Source organism: Homo sapiens, chromosome 20 (assembly GCF_000001405.40).
Source record: "Homo sapiens chromosome 20, GRCh38.p14 Primary Assembly".
Lineage (NCBI taxonomy): Eukaryota > Metazoa > Chordata > Mammalia > Primates > Hominidae > Homo > Homo sapiens.
In genome coordinates, this window is record NC_000020.11 from 31,980,368 (window position 1) to 31,996,197 (window position 15,830).

At 52.5% G+C, this 15,830-nt stretch overlaps 1 protein-coding gene across 1 annotated transcript in view, besides 4 other annotated features; it reads left to right on the forward strand.

Moving 5' to 3' along the window:
- XKR7 (XK related 7) overlaps positions 1–15,830 on the forward strand; it is a 35,237-nt gene that overhangs the window by 12,217 nt on the left and 7,190 nt on the right. The window contains exon 2 of the mRNA NM_001011718.2: positions 14,701–14,903. Coding sequence (NP_001011718.1) covers positions 14,701–14,903 — 203 coding nt within the window. The remainder of the gene's footprint in view (positions 1–14,700; positions 14,904–15,830) is intronic.
- Positions 7,650–7,850: a silencer, noted in NCBI's record as "peak4187 fragment used in MPRA reporter construct". NCBI's record gives its function as "represses an SCP1 promoter by STARR-seq MPRAs in K562 erythroleukemia cells {active_cell/tissue: K562}" and the evidence as "EXISTENCE:reporter gene assay evidence [ECO:0000049][PMID:32103011]".
- Positions 7,650–8,554: a biological region, named in NCBI's record as "H3K27ac hESC enhancer GRCh37_chr20:30575890-30576724".
- Positions 7,720–8,554: an enhancer, noted in NCBI's record as "H3K27ac hESC enhancer chr20:30575890-30576724 (GRCh37/hg19 assembly coordinates)". NCBI's record gives its function as "activates a minimal SCP1, AML or CMV promoter by ChIP-STARR-seq in primed H9 embryonic stem cells {active_cell/tissue: H9 hESC(primed)}" and the evidence as "EXISTENCE:reporter gene assay evidence [ECO:0000049][PMID:30033119]".
- Positions 8,555–9,388: an enhancer, noted in NCBI's record as "H3K27ac hESC enhancer chr20:30576725-30577558 (GRCh37/hg19 assembly coordinates)". NCBI's record gives its function as "activates a minimal SCP1, AML or CMV promoter by ChIP-STARR-seq in naive H9 embryonic stem cells {active_cell/tissue: H9 hESC(naive)}" and the evidence as "EXISTENCE:reporter gene assay evidence [ECO:0000049][PMID:30033119]".

Here is a 15,830-nt window from a genome sequence, read left to right on the forward strand (position 1 = left end):
CCATCCCCCCAACCCCCCGCAAAAGTTTCTGGGCTTCATTGCAGGTGAGGAGGCTATATAGCTGGGAACCCAATGTTTCCTAGAGAACCCATAGACCAGATTTGGGTTCCCATGCCCCACGGTGAAATGGGGGAGTTGGCCAGCCCTGGTTTGGGATGCAACTCTGATGCTTTCTGGCCATGTGACCTTGGGCAAGTCATTTCTCTAATGGCTCTAGACTCTATTCCCCTGTGTCCGGGCCATCCTTACCTCTCACCTGGCAACTGGTCTCCTGTCTTTCACTCTTGCCCTCCTGCAATCTGTTCCCCACAGCCAGGATGCTTCCTCTGACATGCAGAAGTGGTATCTAATCTTGTCACTTTCCTGTTTAAAACCTTCCTGTGGCTCTCCATCACTCTTAAGATAAAGACCAGGCCGGGCATGATGGTTCACACCTGTAATCCCAGCACTTTGGGAGGCCAAGGCAGGAGAATTGCCTGAGCTCAGGAGTTCGAGACCAGCCTGGGCAACGTAGAGAGACCTTATCTCTACTAAAAATTTAAAAAAATATATCCTGGCATGGTGGTATATGCCTATGTTCCCAGCTACTCAGGGGGCTGAGGTGGGAGGATTGCTTGAGCCCAGGAGGTCGAGGCCGCAATGAGCTGTGCTCTCATCACTGCACTCCAGCCTGGGTAACAGAGTGAGACCCTGTCTCAAAAAAAAAAAAAAAAAATGGCCAGGTGCTGTGGCTCATGCCTGTAATCCTAGCACTTTGGGAGGCACAGGGAGGTGATCACTTGAGGTCAGGAGTTTGAGAATAGCCCCATCAACATGGTGAAACCCTGTCTCTACAAAAAAAAAAAAAATACAAAAATCAGCTGGGTGCAGTTGCCCACGCCTGAAGTCCCAGCTACTTGGGATGCCCCTGAGGCAGAAGAATCACTTGAACCCAGAGGGCAGGGGTTGCGGCGAGCTGAGATGGCGCCACTGCACTCCAGCTTGGGCAACAGAGCAAGACCCTGTCTCAAAAACAACAACAACAATAAAAAAGATAAAGACCAGCCAGTCACAGTGGCTCACGCCTGTAATCCCAGCCCTTTGGGAGGCTGAGATGGGTGGATCACCTGAGGTCAGGATTTTGAGATCAGCCTGGCCAACATGGCAAAACCCCGTCTCTACTAAAAATACAAAAATTAGCCAGGTGTGGTGGCATGTATCTGTAATCCCAGCTACTCGGGAGGCTGAGGCAGGAGAATCGCCTGAACCTGGGAGGTAGAGGTTGCAGTGAGCCGAAATCGTGCCACTGCACTGCAGCCTGGGCAACAGAGTGAGACTCTGTCTAAAAACAAACAAACCAACAAACAAACAAAGAAAAAACAAAAGATAAAGGCCAAATACCATGGTTCACGTCTCCACTTCGTGTCGTGCTTTCTTCCCTTTCTTCTCCCTCCTTCTCTGACGGCAGCCATTCTGACCACTTACTGCTCCCTCCCACTTCAGGACTTTTGCCTATGTTGTTTCCTCAGCCAGAGGCTACCTTCCCTGCCTCCTTTACCTGGTTAACTCCTATGTCTGCTTCAGATCGTGGCTCAGTAGTCACCTCCTCTAGAAAGCCTTCCCTGACTGCCACACCCTTCCCAAGCTGGGCCTGGCTGTCCTCCAATAGCACTGCCATCCACAGTGCTGAAGCAGGGACCTCTGTTTGGAGCATTTCTGGAGCCCATGGAACATGCTTGTTGTTACATGTTTACTTGATGATTTAGTTAATCTTCAGGTCCCCATTAAACTGAGTTCCACCAGTGGGTTGGGTCTGTCTTGCACACCATTGTGTCCACGAGCCATTTTAGCACAGTTTGGGGTACATAGAAGGTACTCAAAAGTGCTTGGTGGACTGGGCATGGTGGCTCATGCATGTAATCCCAGTAGTTTGGGAGGCTGAGGTGGGTGGATCACCTGAGGTCAGGAGTTCGAGACCAGCCTGGCTGACATGGCGAAACCCTGTCTCTACTAAAAATACACAAATCAGCTGGGGTGTGGTGGCGCATGCCTGTAATCCCAGCTACTCGGGAGGCTGAGGCAAGAGAATCACTTGAATCCAGGAGGTGGAGGTTGCAGTGAGCTGAGATCGAGCCACTACACTCCAGCCCAGGCGACAGAGAGACTCTGTCTCAAAAAAAAAAAAAAAAAAGGCTTGGTGAATAAATGTCAAATGAACCTTCCCTTTTCTGACACTAAGTTTCCTCATCTGGAAAATGGAGATTATGTCCATGAACCTCACAGGACCACAGTGAAGATTTTAGCGAAGTACATATAAAAGGTATTTGATGAGTGGTAGTTATTTTCTGGGGGGCAGGCAGAGACCCCAAAGAATACTTGCCCTGTGAACCTGTCCCAAAGGTGCTTTCTGACCCAGTGTCCCTCGGGGACAGGTTCAACGAGCACCAGGGGAAAGCCAGCCTAGAAGTGGGTCTCAGCTGTGCCAGAAACCAAACTTCCTTCTTACTGATGGGGCCTCTGATTCAAAAAGCTCCTTGAAACCTTCCATTGATCAAGTGCCCAACACTGAGCTGGGCGTTTTACACACATTACTACTTTCTGATTTCACAGCCACCCTGTAAATGGGTATTGGGCTGATGGGTCCAGAGACGGGAGGCAACTTGTCTGGGGCTACATAGTCAGTAAGAGATGGAGCTAGGATCTGAGCCCAGGCCTGACTCTTTCACCTGGGTTCTTTCCCTCTGTTCTTGGCCACTTTTACTTAAGAAGTTTACAAAGCAGAGTTTATAAAGTATAATCACTCTCTTCATTCATTCACTCACTCAACAAATGACTGTACATTAACGATGTGCCAGGCACTGGGCATGTAGCAGAGGACACCATAAACATGGTCCCCACTCTCATGGAGCCTGCAGTGCTAGGGGAAAGACAGGCAATAAATATGTAAACAAGTAAATGAGATGGTTTCAGGTTGTGATGTGTGTTACTTAAAAAAACAGGGTAACATGACAGAAAGTGACCAGAGAGGCTGCAGAAGTGCTTTGCGGGGTTACAGGCAGTGGTGAGGGGGATGGCTGGGAAAGCTCTCTGAAGAGGTGACATTGAGCTGAGATGGGAGAATGAGAGTTTGACAGGCGTTAGTGAGGACCTTTCTAGGCAGAGGCCCTGGGGTTGGAGTGAGCTTGGTGTGTTCAGGAAGCAGGAGCTGGAGCATGGGAGAGAGGGAGGGTGGTGGGAGAGGGTCCCCGGGAGGGACAAAGGTTGTGTCCTCCTGGACCTCAAGGGTCATGGTGAAGAGTTAATTTTAAAAGTAGTGGGGGCCGGGCACGGTGGCTTATGCCTGTAATCCTAGCAGTTTGGGAGGCCGAGGCAGGCGGATCACCTGAGGTCAGGAGTTCGAGACCATCCTGGCCAATAGGGCAAAACCCTGTCTCTACTAAAAATACAAAAATTAGCCAGGCATGGTGGCAGGCACTTGTAATCCCAGCTACTTGGAAGGCTGAGGCAGGGAGAATTGCTTGAACCCAGGAGGCAGAGGTTGCAGTGAGCCAAGATCGTGCTATTGCACTCCAGCCTGGGTGACAGAGCAAGACTCTGTCTCAATAAATAAATAAATAAATAAATAAATAAATAGCGGGGAGTGGACAGGCACAGTGGTTCACTCCCAGCACTTGGGAGGCCGAGTCAAGTGGATCCCTTGAGGTCAAGAGTTTGAGACCAGCCTGACCAACATGGTGAAACCCTGTCTCTACTAAAAAACAAAAATTAGCCAGGCGTGGTGGCGCACACCCGTAATCCCATCTACTTGGGAGGCTGAGGCACGAAAATCACCTGAACCCGGGACGTGGAGGTTGCAGTGAGCCAAGATCATGCCACTGCATTCCAGCCTGGGTGACAAGAGTGAGACTCCATTTCAAAAAAAAAAACAAGTAGTGGGGAGTGGCCTGCCCTTACCTAGGAGTTTACAAGATCCCCCTGCTGTTGTGTGAAGACAAGGCTTGAAGAGGGCAAGGATGGAAGCAAGCACCCCAGGGAAGCTGCCGGAATGAGGTGGCTTGGACCAGGGTGTTGACACCAGGGTAGAGAGAAGGACTTGGGTTCAGGACATAGCTGTGGAACATTAATGTTATCAGAGTTGGATGGGTGGGGAGGGGCTTGATGAACATCCCTTGGTGTAGACAAGAATCAGTTACTTGGGCTTGGGCCCATTTTATAGAAGAAGATTGAGGCCCATCGAGGAGCTGGGCTTTCCTGGAATCACCTTGGTCTCCTGACTCTTCACTTACTATTGTTGCCTGTCTCCCAGTTTTCTCTAAACCCATATAATCCCAAGTGAAACCTGAGGTCCATTGTGTCTTACCGGGGTCCTATCAGGATCCTGCTGGGCAGCCGTACTGCACACCTTCCAGGCGAGGGAAGCTGCCACGTAGGCAGCCGAGGCAACAGGGGAATCCCGTGGGATGAGACTTGTCCTTCCTCATCCCTGCTCTGGCTCAGGAGGCCATGAAGAGCCAGGGCTGAGTCCTAGATCTGGCACTAACTTGCTGTGTGACTTGGGACGAGTCCTGGTCCCTTTCTAGGTCTGTTTCTCATCTGTGAAATAAGGATAATGGTAGTCCCTGCTTCGAAGATTTGTTAAGAGGGATGGATACGTTCATATGTATAAAAAGTCTCAGCACAGCCTGTCATCCAGCTGGGACTCAGTAAGTGTGAGCTGTTATCCTTATTAGTAACCACTGCACACTGTCCCCCTGCAGACCTACAGACTAACTATGGGCTCAGCTGGGGGGATGTCCTACCCCTGCCCATCAGTCCTGGCTCTCCCATCTGCCTCCCAGCCCCACCCTGTTCACTCTGTAGGGATCTGCAGACCCTGGCCCGCATTGAGACTAGGGAGCTAGCCAGCATGAGGGTGGTTCCTGGATGGAGAGGCAGCGGGGGAGCCACTGGAAGCTGCTGTGTGTTTGGCCCAGAACTGTGAGGGGGAGTGGGGAGGGGCGAGAACACACACTCGGAAATGCTGAGACCGACAGATGGAGGAGCTGAGGATGTGAGAGACACAGACAGACAGAGAGAGACCCAGAGTCAGGGAGAGGAGGAGCAGGCAGGGGAGGATGGCCAGAAAACTGGCAGTCACACCAAGCCACGAGCTGAGCAACAAATCAGCAGATGGACCAAGCAGTCGAGGGACTAAAAGACACAGACAGACAGACCACCAAGTGGACCTAGCATCCAAGACACAGACAGACCACCGAACAGATCCAGTATCCAAAGCACAGACAGACAGACCACCAAGCAGACCCAGCATCCAAGACACAGACAGACCACCAAGTGGACCCAGCATCCAAGACACAGACAGACAGACTACCAAGCAGACCCAGCATCCAAGACACAGACAGACAGGCAGACTACCAAGCAGACCCAGCATCCAAGACACAGACAGACAGACAGACAGACAGACAGACTACCAAGCAGACCCAGCATCCAAAACACAGACAGACCACCAAGCGGACCCAGCATCCAGACACAGACAGACAGACAGACAGACAGACTACCAAGCAGACCCAGCATCCAAAACACAGACAGACCACCAAGCGGACCCAGCATCCAGACACAGACAGACAGACAGACAGACAGACTACCAAGCAGACCCAGCATCCAAGACACAGACAGACAGACAGACAGACTACCAAGCAGACCCAGCATCCAAGACACAGACAGACAGACCACCAAGCAGACCAAGCATCCAAGACACAGACAGACCACCAAACAGATCCAGCATCCAAGGCACAGACAGACAGACAGACAGACCACCAAGCACACCCAGCATCCAAGACACAGACAGACAGACAGACCACTAAACAGATCCAGTATCCAAGGCACAGACAGACAGACCACCAAGCAGACCCAGCATCCAAGACACAGACAGACAGACCACCAAGCAGACCCAGCATCTGAGACACAGACAGACAGACCACCAAACAGATCCAACATCCAAGACACAGACAGACAGACCACCAAGCAGACCAAGCATCCAAGACACAGACAGACCACCAAACAGATCCAGCATCCAAGGCACAGACAGACAGACAGACCACCAAGCACACCCAGCATCCAAGACACAGACAGACAGACAGACCACTAAACAGATCCAGTATCCAAGGCACAGACAGACAGACCACCAAGCAGACCCAGCATCCAAGACACAGACAGACAGACCACCAAGCAGACCCAGCATCTGAGACACAGACAGACAGACCACCAAACAGATCCAACATCCAAGACACAGACAGACAGACCACCAAACAGACCAAGCATCCAAGACACAGACAGACAGACCACCAAACGGATCCAGTATCCAAGGCACAGACAGACCACCAAGTAGACCCAGCATCCAAGACACAGACAGACCACCAAGCAGACCCAGCATCCAAGACACAGACAGACAGACAGACAGAGAGACAACCAAGCAGACCCAGCATCCAAGACACAGACAGACAGACCACCAAACAGATCCAGTATCCAAGACACAGACAGACAGACAGACAGACCACCAAGCCGACCCAGCATCCAAGACACAGACAAACAGACGACCAAGCAGACCCAGCATCCAAGGCACAGCAGACAGACAGACCGCTAAACAGATCCAGTATCCAAGGCACAGACAGACAGACCACCAAGCAGACCCAGCATCCAAGACACAGACAGACAGACCACCAAACAGATCCAGTATCCAAGGCACAGACAGACCACCAAGTAGACCCAGCATCCAAGACACAGACAGACAGACCACCAAACAGACCCAGCATCCAAGACACAGACAACAGACCTCAAAGCGGGCCCAGTATCAAGACACAGACACACAGACCTCCAAGAGGACCCAGTATTAAGACACAGACAGACAAACAGACCACCAAGCAGACCCAGCATCCAAGACACAGACAGACAGACCACCAAACAGATCCAGTATCCAAGGCACAGACAGACCACCAAGCAGACCCAGCATCCAAGACACAGACAGACAGACCACCAAGCAGACCCAGTATCCAAGGCACAGACAGACCACCAAGTAGACCCAGCATCCAAGACACAGACAGACAGACCACCAAGCAGACCCAGTATCCAAGGCACAGACAGTCCACCAAGTAGACCCAGCATCCAAGACACAGACAGACAGACCACCAAACAGACCCAGCATCCAAGACACAGACAGACAGACCACAAAGCGGCCCCAGTATCAAGACACAGACACACAGACCTCCAAGAGGACCCAGTATTAAGACACAGACAGACAGACAGACCACCAAACAGATCCAGCATTCAAGACACAGAGAGACAGATCACCAAGTGGACCCAGTATCAAGACAGACAGAAAAGCAGACCTCGTATTCACAGGATAGACAGGCTGTCTGGCATCCAGGGGACAGAGACTGAAGCTCCTGGCCTCTAAGGGCAGGCAGACAGGCTGACCCAGGATCACAGGGTCAGACCAATAGGACATAGTATCTGAGAGACTATGTGACCCACAGTCCAAGGGACAGGATTCCAGGATTTTGGAACTGAGCCAGGGACTGAGCCAGGATTCCAGGGCGAGACTGACTGACTAACAGACTCCTGACAGAAATGCAGGAATGGTAAATAGGCTAGCCCTGCATTCAAGGGACAGACACAATAGACAGGCTGATCTGAGCCACAGACAGAGACAATGACTCAGGATCTGAGGTCAAAGGGATGGGTCCAGGCTTGGGCCCAGGTTTGACTGTCTGAATGGACTGAGGTGCAGGCCAGAAACTCTGACCTAGAACCAGAGACTTGGGGTGACTCAGGAACGAAGAACAGGAGAGAGATGGGGTGATGCAGACGTTGCCAGAAGCTTCCTGGCTTCTCAAGAACATGGGATCCCCTCGTCCTTTTCCCCTCCTGCCCATTAGAGAGCAGCCCCCAAACTCTGGGGGACTGGGGGACACTGGAAATTTCCCGTGAGGAGGGTAGGATGGGCCTGGGGAGAAGGGAATGAGCTCCTATTCATTTCTCGATCCTGCCACCTGTTCACAGAGGCAGTGGGGTTCAGAAGAGACAGGTTTTTGGGTCCCTGACAGGAGGGATTTCATACTCTAGCTTCTACTCTTCTCTCTAGGTGTGGCCTTTTTGCTCCCACTTGTACACTTTTGAGATGTACACTCATCTGCTCTTCCAGTTTCTTCCCGGACAAGCTTCTTCTCTGAGCACAAGACTGGGGGTCAGTAAGTTAGATTCCAAATAGACTGAGGGCCTCTGTTTCCTCATCTATGAAATGGGGACAGCAGAAGTTGCGTGTTAGGTTAACAGCATGGACTACAGTGTCTGGCTCACTTCAGGCTTCACGCAGTTCAAGCCTGAGAGCTGTTAGAGAAAGTGAGGCCTAACTGGGCTAGAGGGGCATCAGAGAGGGCTTCCTGTAGGAAGAAGGTCAAGAATGAGTCAGCGAGGGCAGGAGGAGCCTGTGAGGTGTCCTGGCTCTTTGCAACTTCAAGCAGAGAAACCCCAGAGCCCTGTAAGGTCAGGAGGGAGATGCACACAGATACTCACATGTATTCATTCAGCAAATAGTCAGTGCCTACTCAATAATGCATCAGTGCCTATTCTACAGGCACTGATGCTGGGGACACAGGGGTGATCAAGACAGACGAGATCCCTGCCCTCATGGATTCACAGTGGGAGAATGGAAAATAAATAAATAAACGGTGATTTCATAGTGTAGGTTAAGATGAAAATAAGACAGGGGGTGTGGTAGACTAGAGTGAGTTGGCAAGGGTGGCCTGGGAGGCCTCTCTGAGAAGGTGTGAGCTGATGAGGAGCCAGCCATGGGAGGATCTGGGAAAGGGGTATTCCAGGCAGAGCAAGTGCAGACGTCCTGAGCCAGGGACAAGTCTGGCTGAGTTTTAGGACACCCCCCCCCCAGCGCATCTGGAGTGTCAGGAACAAGTGGGACAGTGGTTTGAGATGAGGTGAGAGAAACAGGCAGGGCCAGATGGTTTAGGGCCTGCACGCCGAGGGGAGAAGCGTGGGTTTTATTCCAAGTGTGATGGGAGGCCCTTGGAAGGCTTTGAGAAGGGGAATGACATGATCTGACAGGTTTTAAAAATATCCTGCTGGTTGCCATGTGGAGAATGGACTGTAGGGAGGCAGGAGTGGATGCGGGCAGCCACACAGAAGGCTGACGTGGTCACCCAGGCAAGATGACTGTGGCCTGCACAGGTGGTAGCAGAGGAGACATGGACAGACTGGGGATTTTGTTGTTTTTTAGTGATGGACTCTCACCCTGTCACCCAGGCTGGAGTGCAGTGGTGCAGTCATGGCTGACTGCAGCCTCGAACTCCTGGACTCAAGTGATCTTCCCACCTCAGCCTCCTGAGTAGCTGGGACTACAGGCACACGCCACCACATCGGCCAATTTTTAAATGTTTTGTAGAGATGGGGTTTCTCTGTGATGCCCAGGCTGGTCTTGAACTCCTGGGCTCAAGTGATCCTCCCGCCTTGGCCTCCCAAAATGTTGGGATTCCAGGCATGAGCCGCCACACCTGGCCTGGGGATAATTTTGGAGAAGATCAGATGTACACCACCCCCAATCTGGATTCCCTTCCCTGAGGTGTGGTGTTCTTCCCTTGGGTGAAGATCAGCTTCTTTCAACTTCATTTCAAATAGAGTGGGATGTGGGATAGGGTGGACTTCCTAGAGGAGGTTTCAAGAGAGGTTGCCTGGTGGTGAGGAGGAGCCAGCGGCCCCTGCCCAGTGTATGCTACTCCCTCTATGGACACCCTTTATAGTTTATAAACTATTTTTAAATTCATTGCGTGTGTGTGTGTGTGTGTGTGTGTGTGTGTGTGTGGAAACAGGGACTCACTGTGTTGCCCAGACTGGTCTCAAACTCCCCGGTTCAAGAGATCCACCTACCTCGGCCTCCCAAAGTGTTGGGATTACAGGTGTGAGCCACTGCACCCTGCCCCATCACACTCATTTAATGCTCACAACAAGGAGGAAAATAAAGCTCAGAGAAGTGGAGAGACTACCCAAGGTCACACAGCAGGTCTGGGACAGGGCTGGGAATCAAACCCACATGCCAGCCATTGCTACCTTTCCTCCCTCATCCTTACCCCAGTGGCTATGTGTAAGCAGAATGGCAAGTGCCATTCCCATTTTAGAGAAGGGAAACTGAGGGCCAGGGAAATTAGGTTGCATGTCCTGGGCAGGACTGTTTTAAGACCTTTGTGGGCACCACATCTATCAAGCATATTAAAATGCAGCTACATCAAACATCCCATGTAAATTATATATGACTAGATAAAAGCCAAATTGTAGTTGACTGGCTGACATCATGTTCTGTTTTGCACACATTTAATTAAACATTTATTAATTTTGATTCTGTAGTTTTTCCCTGTGTTTTGGAGCCAATTTTTTTTTTTCAGGCTTCAAACATTTCCCTAGGCCCATGAAAATCTCACAGGCCCTTGGCAGAGAGCTTTTCGTGCTGGCTGGAAGGAACAGCCACAGTTTTGCTCCTGTTGCCAAAAGGGGCAGAGCGAGGCAGAACCCAGGCCTTTTATCCCCAGACCACAGTGTGGTCTTTCCACACTCCCCACTGACCCCACATTCCTGGTACTCAGAGCCCTCCTCTCTTCTCTTCCTCCATCCCTGCTCCTGCCCACTGTGGCCCTGGGCTGTGTGAGCCCTTTGTCTGTGGTTAGCTAGGAGCTGGCAGAGGAGGGGGCAGGAGTGGGCAGGGAGGTGGGCAGGTGGCCCGTCAGGTAGTGATGGATGCTGGCCAGGGGCCAGGGCCTCTCTCATGCTGACCCGGGCCCGGAAACAGATGGTCTTCCAGCCTGAGAGAAACTTCCAGGGTGTCACCTTCCCCCAACTCCCCAGGCCCCTTCACATTGGACCAGCTGGTCTCTCCTTCCTAGTCAAAGCCAGAGCCATGGGAAGGGGAAGGGAATGTGGCGGCAGTGGGGATGGAGGCTAGGAAAGACGGCCTGTGTTCTAGGCCCTCAGAAGTTCTAAGGGCCATCTTGGTTTCTCCCCCAGCCCCCACCTCTGGCCATCTCCAGATCTCTCTCTGCCCTTCCTGTATCCCATGCCTTAGCTCAGCCCTGTAATTTCAGACCTGGACCAAACCCCATCCTCTCCTGGCTTTCCTCCAAGCCAGCCTCCACAGCAAGCTTTCTAAGCCACTGAGCCAAGCTCATCACCCCTGATTCTGGGATGGCATTCAGATAGAGAATAAAATCTGAACTCTTCAGTCCAGAATTTCATGCCCTTCACAATTCTAGTCTCCTTATGTCCCTGCCCATTAAAACCCCTTGTCCAGGCCCAGCAAACCTCTGGCCATTCCCCTAAAATGCCAAATTCTTTCAGGCCTCTGAGCCTTTGCTTCAGCTGATTCTCCCACCTGGAATGACCTTCCATCTCTTGTGTGCCTTCAGATGCCAACCCATGCTTTAAAACTGAGATCAGGCCAGGCGTGGTGGCCCACACCTGTTATCCCAGCACTTTGGGAGGCTGAGGCGGGTGGATCACCTAAGGTCAGGAGTTTGAGACAAGCCTGACCAACATGGAGAAACCCCGTCTCTACTAAAAATACAAAATTAGCCAGGCATGATGGCGTATGCCTGTAATCCCAGCTACTCGGGAGGCTGAGGCAGGAGAATCGCTTGAACTCTGGAAGCGGAGGTTGTGGTGAGCCGAGATCACACCACTGCACTCCAGCCTGGGCAACAAGAGCGAAACTCTGTCTCAAAACAAAACAAAACAAAACAAAAACAAAAACAAACAAAAAAACTGAGATCAAATGTTTCTTCCTTCCAAGGCATCTTATAGCATTATTTCACTTCCTATCTTGTCTCTCTTCCATGGGACTGGGAGATACATATGGGCACACAGCCTGGCACAGAGCAGGTGGTCAGAATCCACCTGCTACATGAATGAATCATTCTGGCTGCAGGGATCCTTATGTGTGGGGTAAGCAGGAGTCCAGAAAATGGAAGATACAGGGAGACAAATTTCTGCTTATCAGAAGAAATACAATCCAGACCTGGAGCTGCTCAGAAGCTGAGGTCCCTGTCCTGGGGAGCGTGTGAGCAGTGAGTGTAGATGCAGCAGGCTGAGGTCCCTGTCCTGGGCAGCGTGTGAGCAGTGGGTATAGATACACCAGGCTGGAAATGACTGAAGGAATTCCAGCATGGCACAGGAGAGTTGGACAGAGGGGGCTTTGCATTTCCAGAGTCAGCTTCTGAGGGAACAGCCCCCTTACCCATCCTGGCTGCCAATCCTGTCATGTGTTATGTTGATGGTGTGTTTATGCCATAGACTGATGCCAGGATGACCCAGGGATGGGGAGGAGGGTCCTAAATGGGATGTTCCTGGCCTCATTTTGCAGAGAGAGTCCCAGAATATTCACTCTGAAAGGATCTCCAGAGTCATCAAACTCATCCCTTTCATTGGCAGATGGAGAAACTGAGGCTTTGAGAGGGCCACACAGCTGGTAAGACCAGTATACTCATTTGAGGAAATTTGGTATCAGCTGGCCCCACATCCAGGGAGAACTGTGACTTCCTCCCTTGGGCTGTGAATAGAGTGAGTCCCCTGGTTCCCAAACAACATCCTGGAAATGCCAGCGCTTCACCCTGGGAATAGACCCCAAATCTCTGGCTCCCCAGTTTCAGATCCAGGCAGCGGGGTCAGAGAATCTGTGTAAGGGTTCCCCCTCCACACACACACACACACACACACACACATACACATACACACACACACCACCCCCAGTTTCCTGGGAAAGCCACTTTTGGAAGAGTCCTCTGGTTTGCAGCAAAGAGTGTGCCTGCCCCGTGAATCAGAGAGTTTGGGGAGCCGGCGGGAGTAGGGGGCGCTGGGAAGGTGGCAGGGTCTGTAGCTGCAGGAGTAGAGCTTCTGGGCAAGGAACCAGGGCAGAAGGGAAATCAGACCCAGAGATCTGTGTGGAGAGTTCCCCTCTCACCCTACATGGGCACTGTACTTCATAGTGTGCAAAGTTTCTTTTCATTCATTTAATCCTCACCGCCACTTTGGGAGGGATTAACTAGGGCTCAGAGAGGGTCTTGCTCAAGATCACACAGTAAATTAGAAGCAAAGTGGGATTGATCTCAGGACTTCAGAGTCCCTTCTATACCCCCTATAGGGTTACTAGAGTTCCATTCAGTTCAACAAGCCTGCAGTCGTGTTTCATTCATTCAGCCCATATAGATTAAGCACACTTTCATTCATTCAGCCCATATAGATTAAGCACCTACTGTGTGCTAAGAACTGAGGATGCAGCACTTAGCAAGCCAGCCTAGTCATTCTCCAGGTACTCACAGCATGGGGGAGATGTGCACATAACCAGGCAGTTACAACCCACTGTGACAAGTGCTAGCTAGATTAGACGGAAGCCTGGGAGAGGCCCTTACCCTAGGTGGAAGGTGGTCAGCGGAAGCTTTATGGACAAAATTGTGTTCAAAAGCTGAGCCTTGGAAGAAAAGCAAGAGTCATCCCGGGTTGGGGCCGGGATGGGGTTAGGGGATAGGGCAGGGTGTTTTAGGGAGAGGAAACAATAGGTACAATTCCTCAGCAAGGAGGGAGAACATTGTGAGCTCTGGCTCTGTGACCTGTGCAGAGTGGCCAAGAAGAGCCGGAGTTTGTTGGGAGAAGTGGCATGAGAGGAAGCAGCAGTTTCAGATGCCAAGGAAAAGTGTCTGTGAGCACCTTCCTTGCACCCTGGGGTGAGAGCTGGGCACTGAGCTGTGAGGATCTCACCTCATCTGGGCACTGAGAAGGGAACAGGCCAGGGAGCTGCTGGTGGCAACAGAACCGGGGCTGGCACCAGGCAGTAGGGACTGTTCCTGGAAGGAACCTATGTGAGCAAAACTTTTTATGGTTTACAGTCAGAGGCAGTGTTGTCTAATGGTTAGAGTGCCGGCCCTGAGGCCAGAATGGCTGGGTTTGTGTCCTGGTTCTACTGCTTCCTAGCTGTGTGACCTTGGATAAATGACATATCTCTCTGGGTCTCAGTTTGCTCACCTACAAAATGGGAATTGGGCCGTGTGCGGTGGCTCATGCTTGTATTCCTAGCACCCTGGGAGGCCAAAGCAGGATGATCACTTGAGATGAGGCCAGGAGTTCAAGACCAGCCTGGGCAACATAGCCAGAAAAAAATTTAAAAATTAGCCTGGTGTAGTGGTACATGCCTGCAGTCCCAGCTACTTAGGAGGCTGAGTCGGGAAGATTCCTTGAGCCCAGGAGTTTGAAGTTGCTGTGAGCTAAGATCGCACCACTGCACTCCAGCCTGGGTGACAGAATGAGACCCCATCTCTAAAATAAAACAAAGTAAGGGTCGGGTAACAGGGCTATTGTAAGCTCAGCGCACTCCAAGGTGTCAGTAACCCTCCAAAGAAAGCACGCCCCAACCGTTATAGGAATAAGGGCGATACCGCTGTTGTATTAAAGGCTTTATTTACTTAGTGCCAGTCCTCTCTCTAAGCTAATGAGTCCATTCAGTGCTCCTCAACAGCAGCCTCATAAGGTGATCCTTTCGAAATGCCCATTTCACAGCTGAGGAAACAGGCTCAGCGTAGGGAGTGACTTGCCCCCTGCGCCTGTGGGCGGCTCGGGGCTGGTGCGACAGAGCGAGAGGAACCAGCGCGCGGGAGCCTGAGCACCGCGTCCTTCCCGCAGGTACCTGCGCGCCCTGTACCTGGGGCTGCAGAGCCGCTGGCGCGGGGAGCGGCTGCGGCGCCACTTCTACTGGCAGATGCTGTTCGAGAGCGCCGACGTGAGCATGCTGCGCTTGCTGGAGACCTTCCTGCGCAGCGCGCCGCAGCTAGTGCTGCAGCTCAGCCTGCTGGTGCACCGCGGTGGCGCGCCCGACCTGCTGCCGGGTGAGCCCGCCCCTTCACCCTCTGCGCCTGGGACCACCCCACCGGGCCTTTCTCCCTGCTTCAGGCTCCCTGGGGATGCCCTGTGGGCTTCCCCACCCCAGCTCAGGGCTCACTCAGTCAGGGTTTAGGGAGGCCTGCCCCTTCTACCCTCACCACCCTCCAGGCCTCTCGAGACCCCCGCGTCCCCTTCGATGGCCCACTTATACTCAGAGTGAGGAGGGACCTGGCCCCTCCACTCCCTCGACACCCATCAGCCCCCCTGGGCGCTCCTGCCCTCCTCCCTTCCCCGTTGCCAGAGCCAACCAAACCCCATCTCCCACCCAAACACCTTAGACCCTCTGGGGAATCCCCTGCCCACTTCCTTCCCCAACCTGATCCCAGCCTGCATCTCCTGGGGACCCCCTGCCTCATAGACCTGGCCAATCACCATCAGTTTCCAGAGAGCCTACCCCTTCACTGGGGGGCCCCGGGGGGCCCTCCCAGGCCTAGTCCTGGCACCCATCCCCTCCTCCTCCCTACAGGCCCTGTTAATTTCCCACCTTGCCCCTTCCATAATGACAGAGCCCCTCAATATCAGAGAAAAACCGCATCCCCCTGTCTCCCTGAAGCACTCCGTGCTCTCCCAACCTAGTCCCTGCCCAACCCATCCTCAGTGTCCCAAAAGACTATCACCACCCCTCATGGCCCTGGGGACCCCTTGCCCAGTTACGGGGTCCCAATCACAACGCTTCCCACCTTGGGTCTCCCCATCCCCGCCCCTCAGCTCTGCTCAGCTCAGCTCTAGATATTCCTCTCCATGCCCGGCCTCCTCCTGGTGGCCCACGACTTCTAATGGCCCCCTCCTGGCAGCTCCACACCCTAATCATGACCTCCTCTTCACCTCCTCTTCCACTCCCAGAGTCCCGGACCCTCATTTCCCACCCTCCC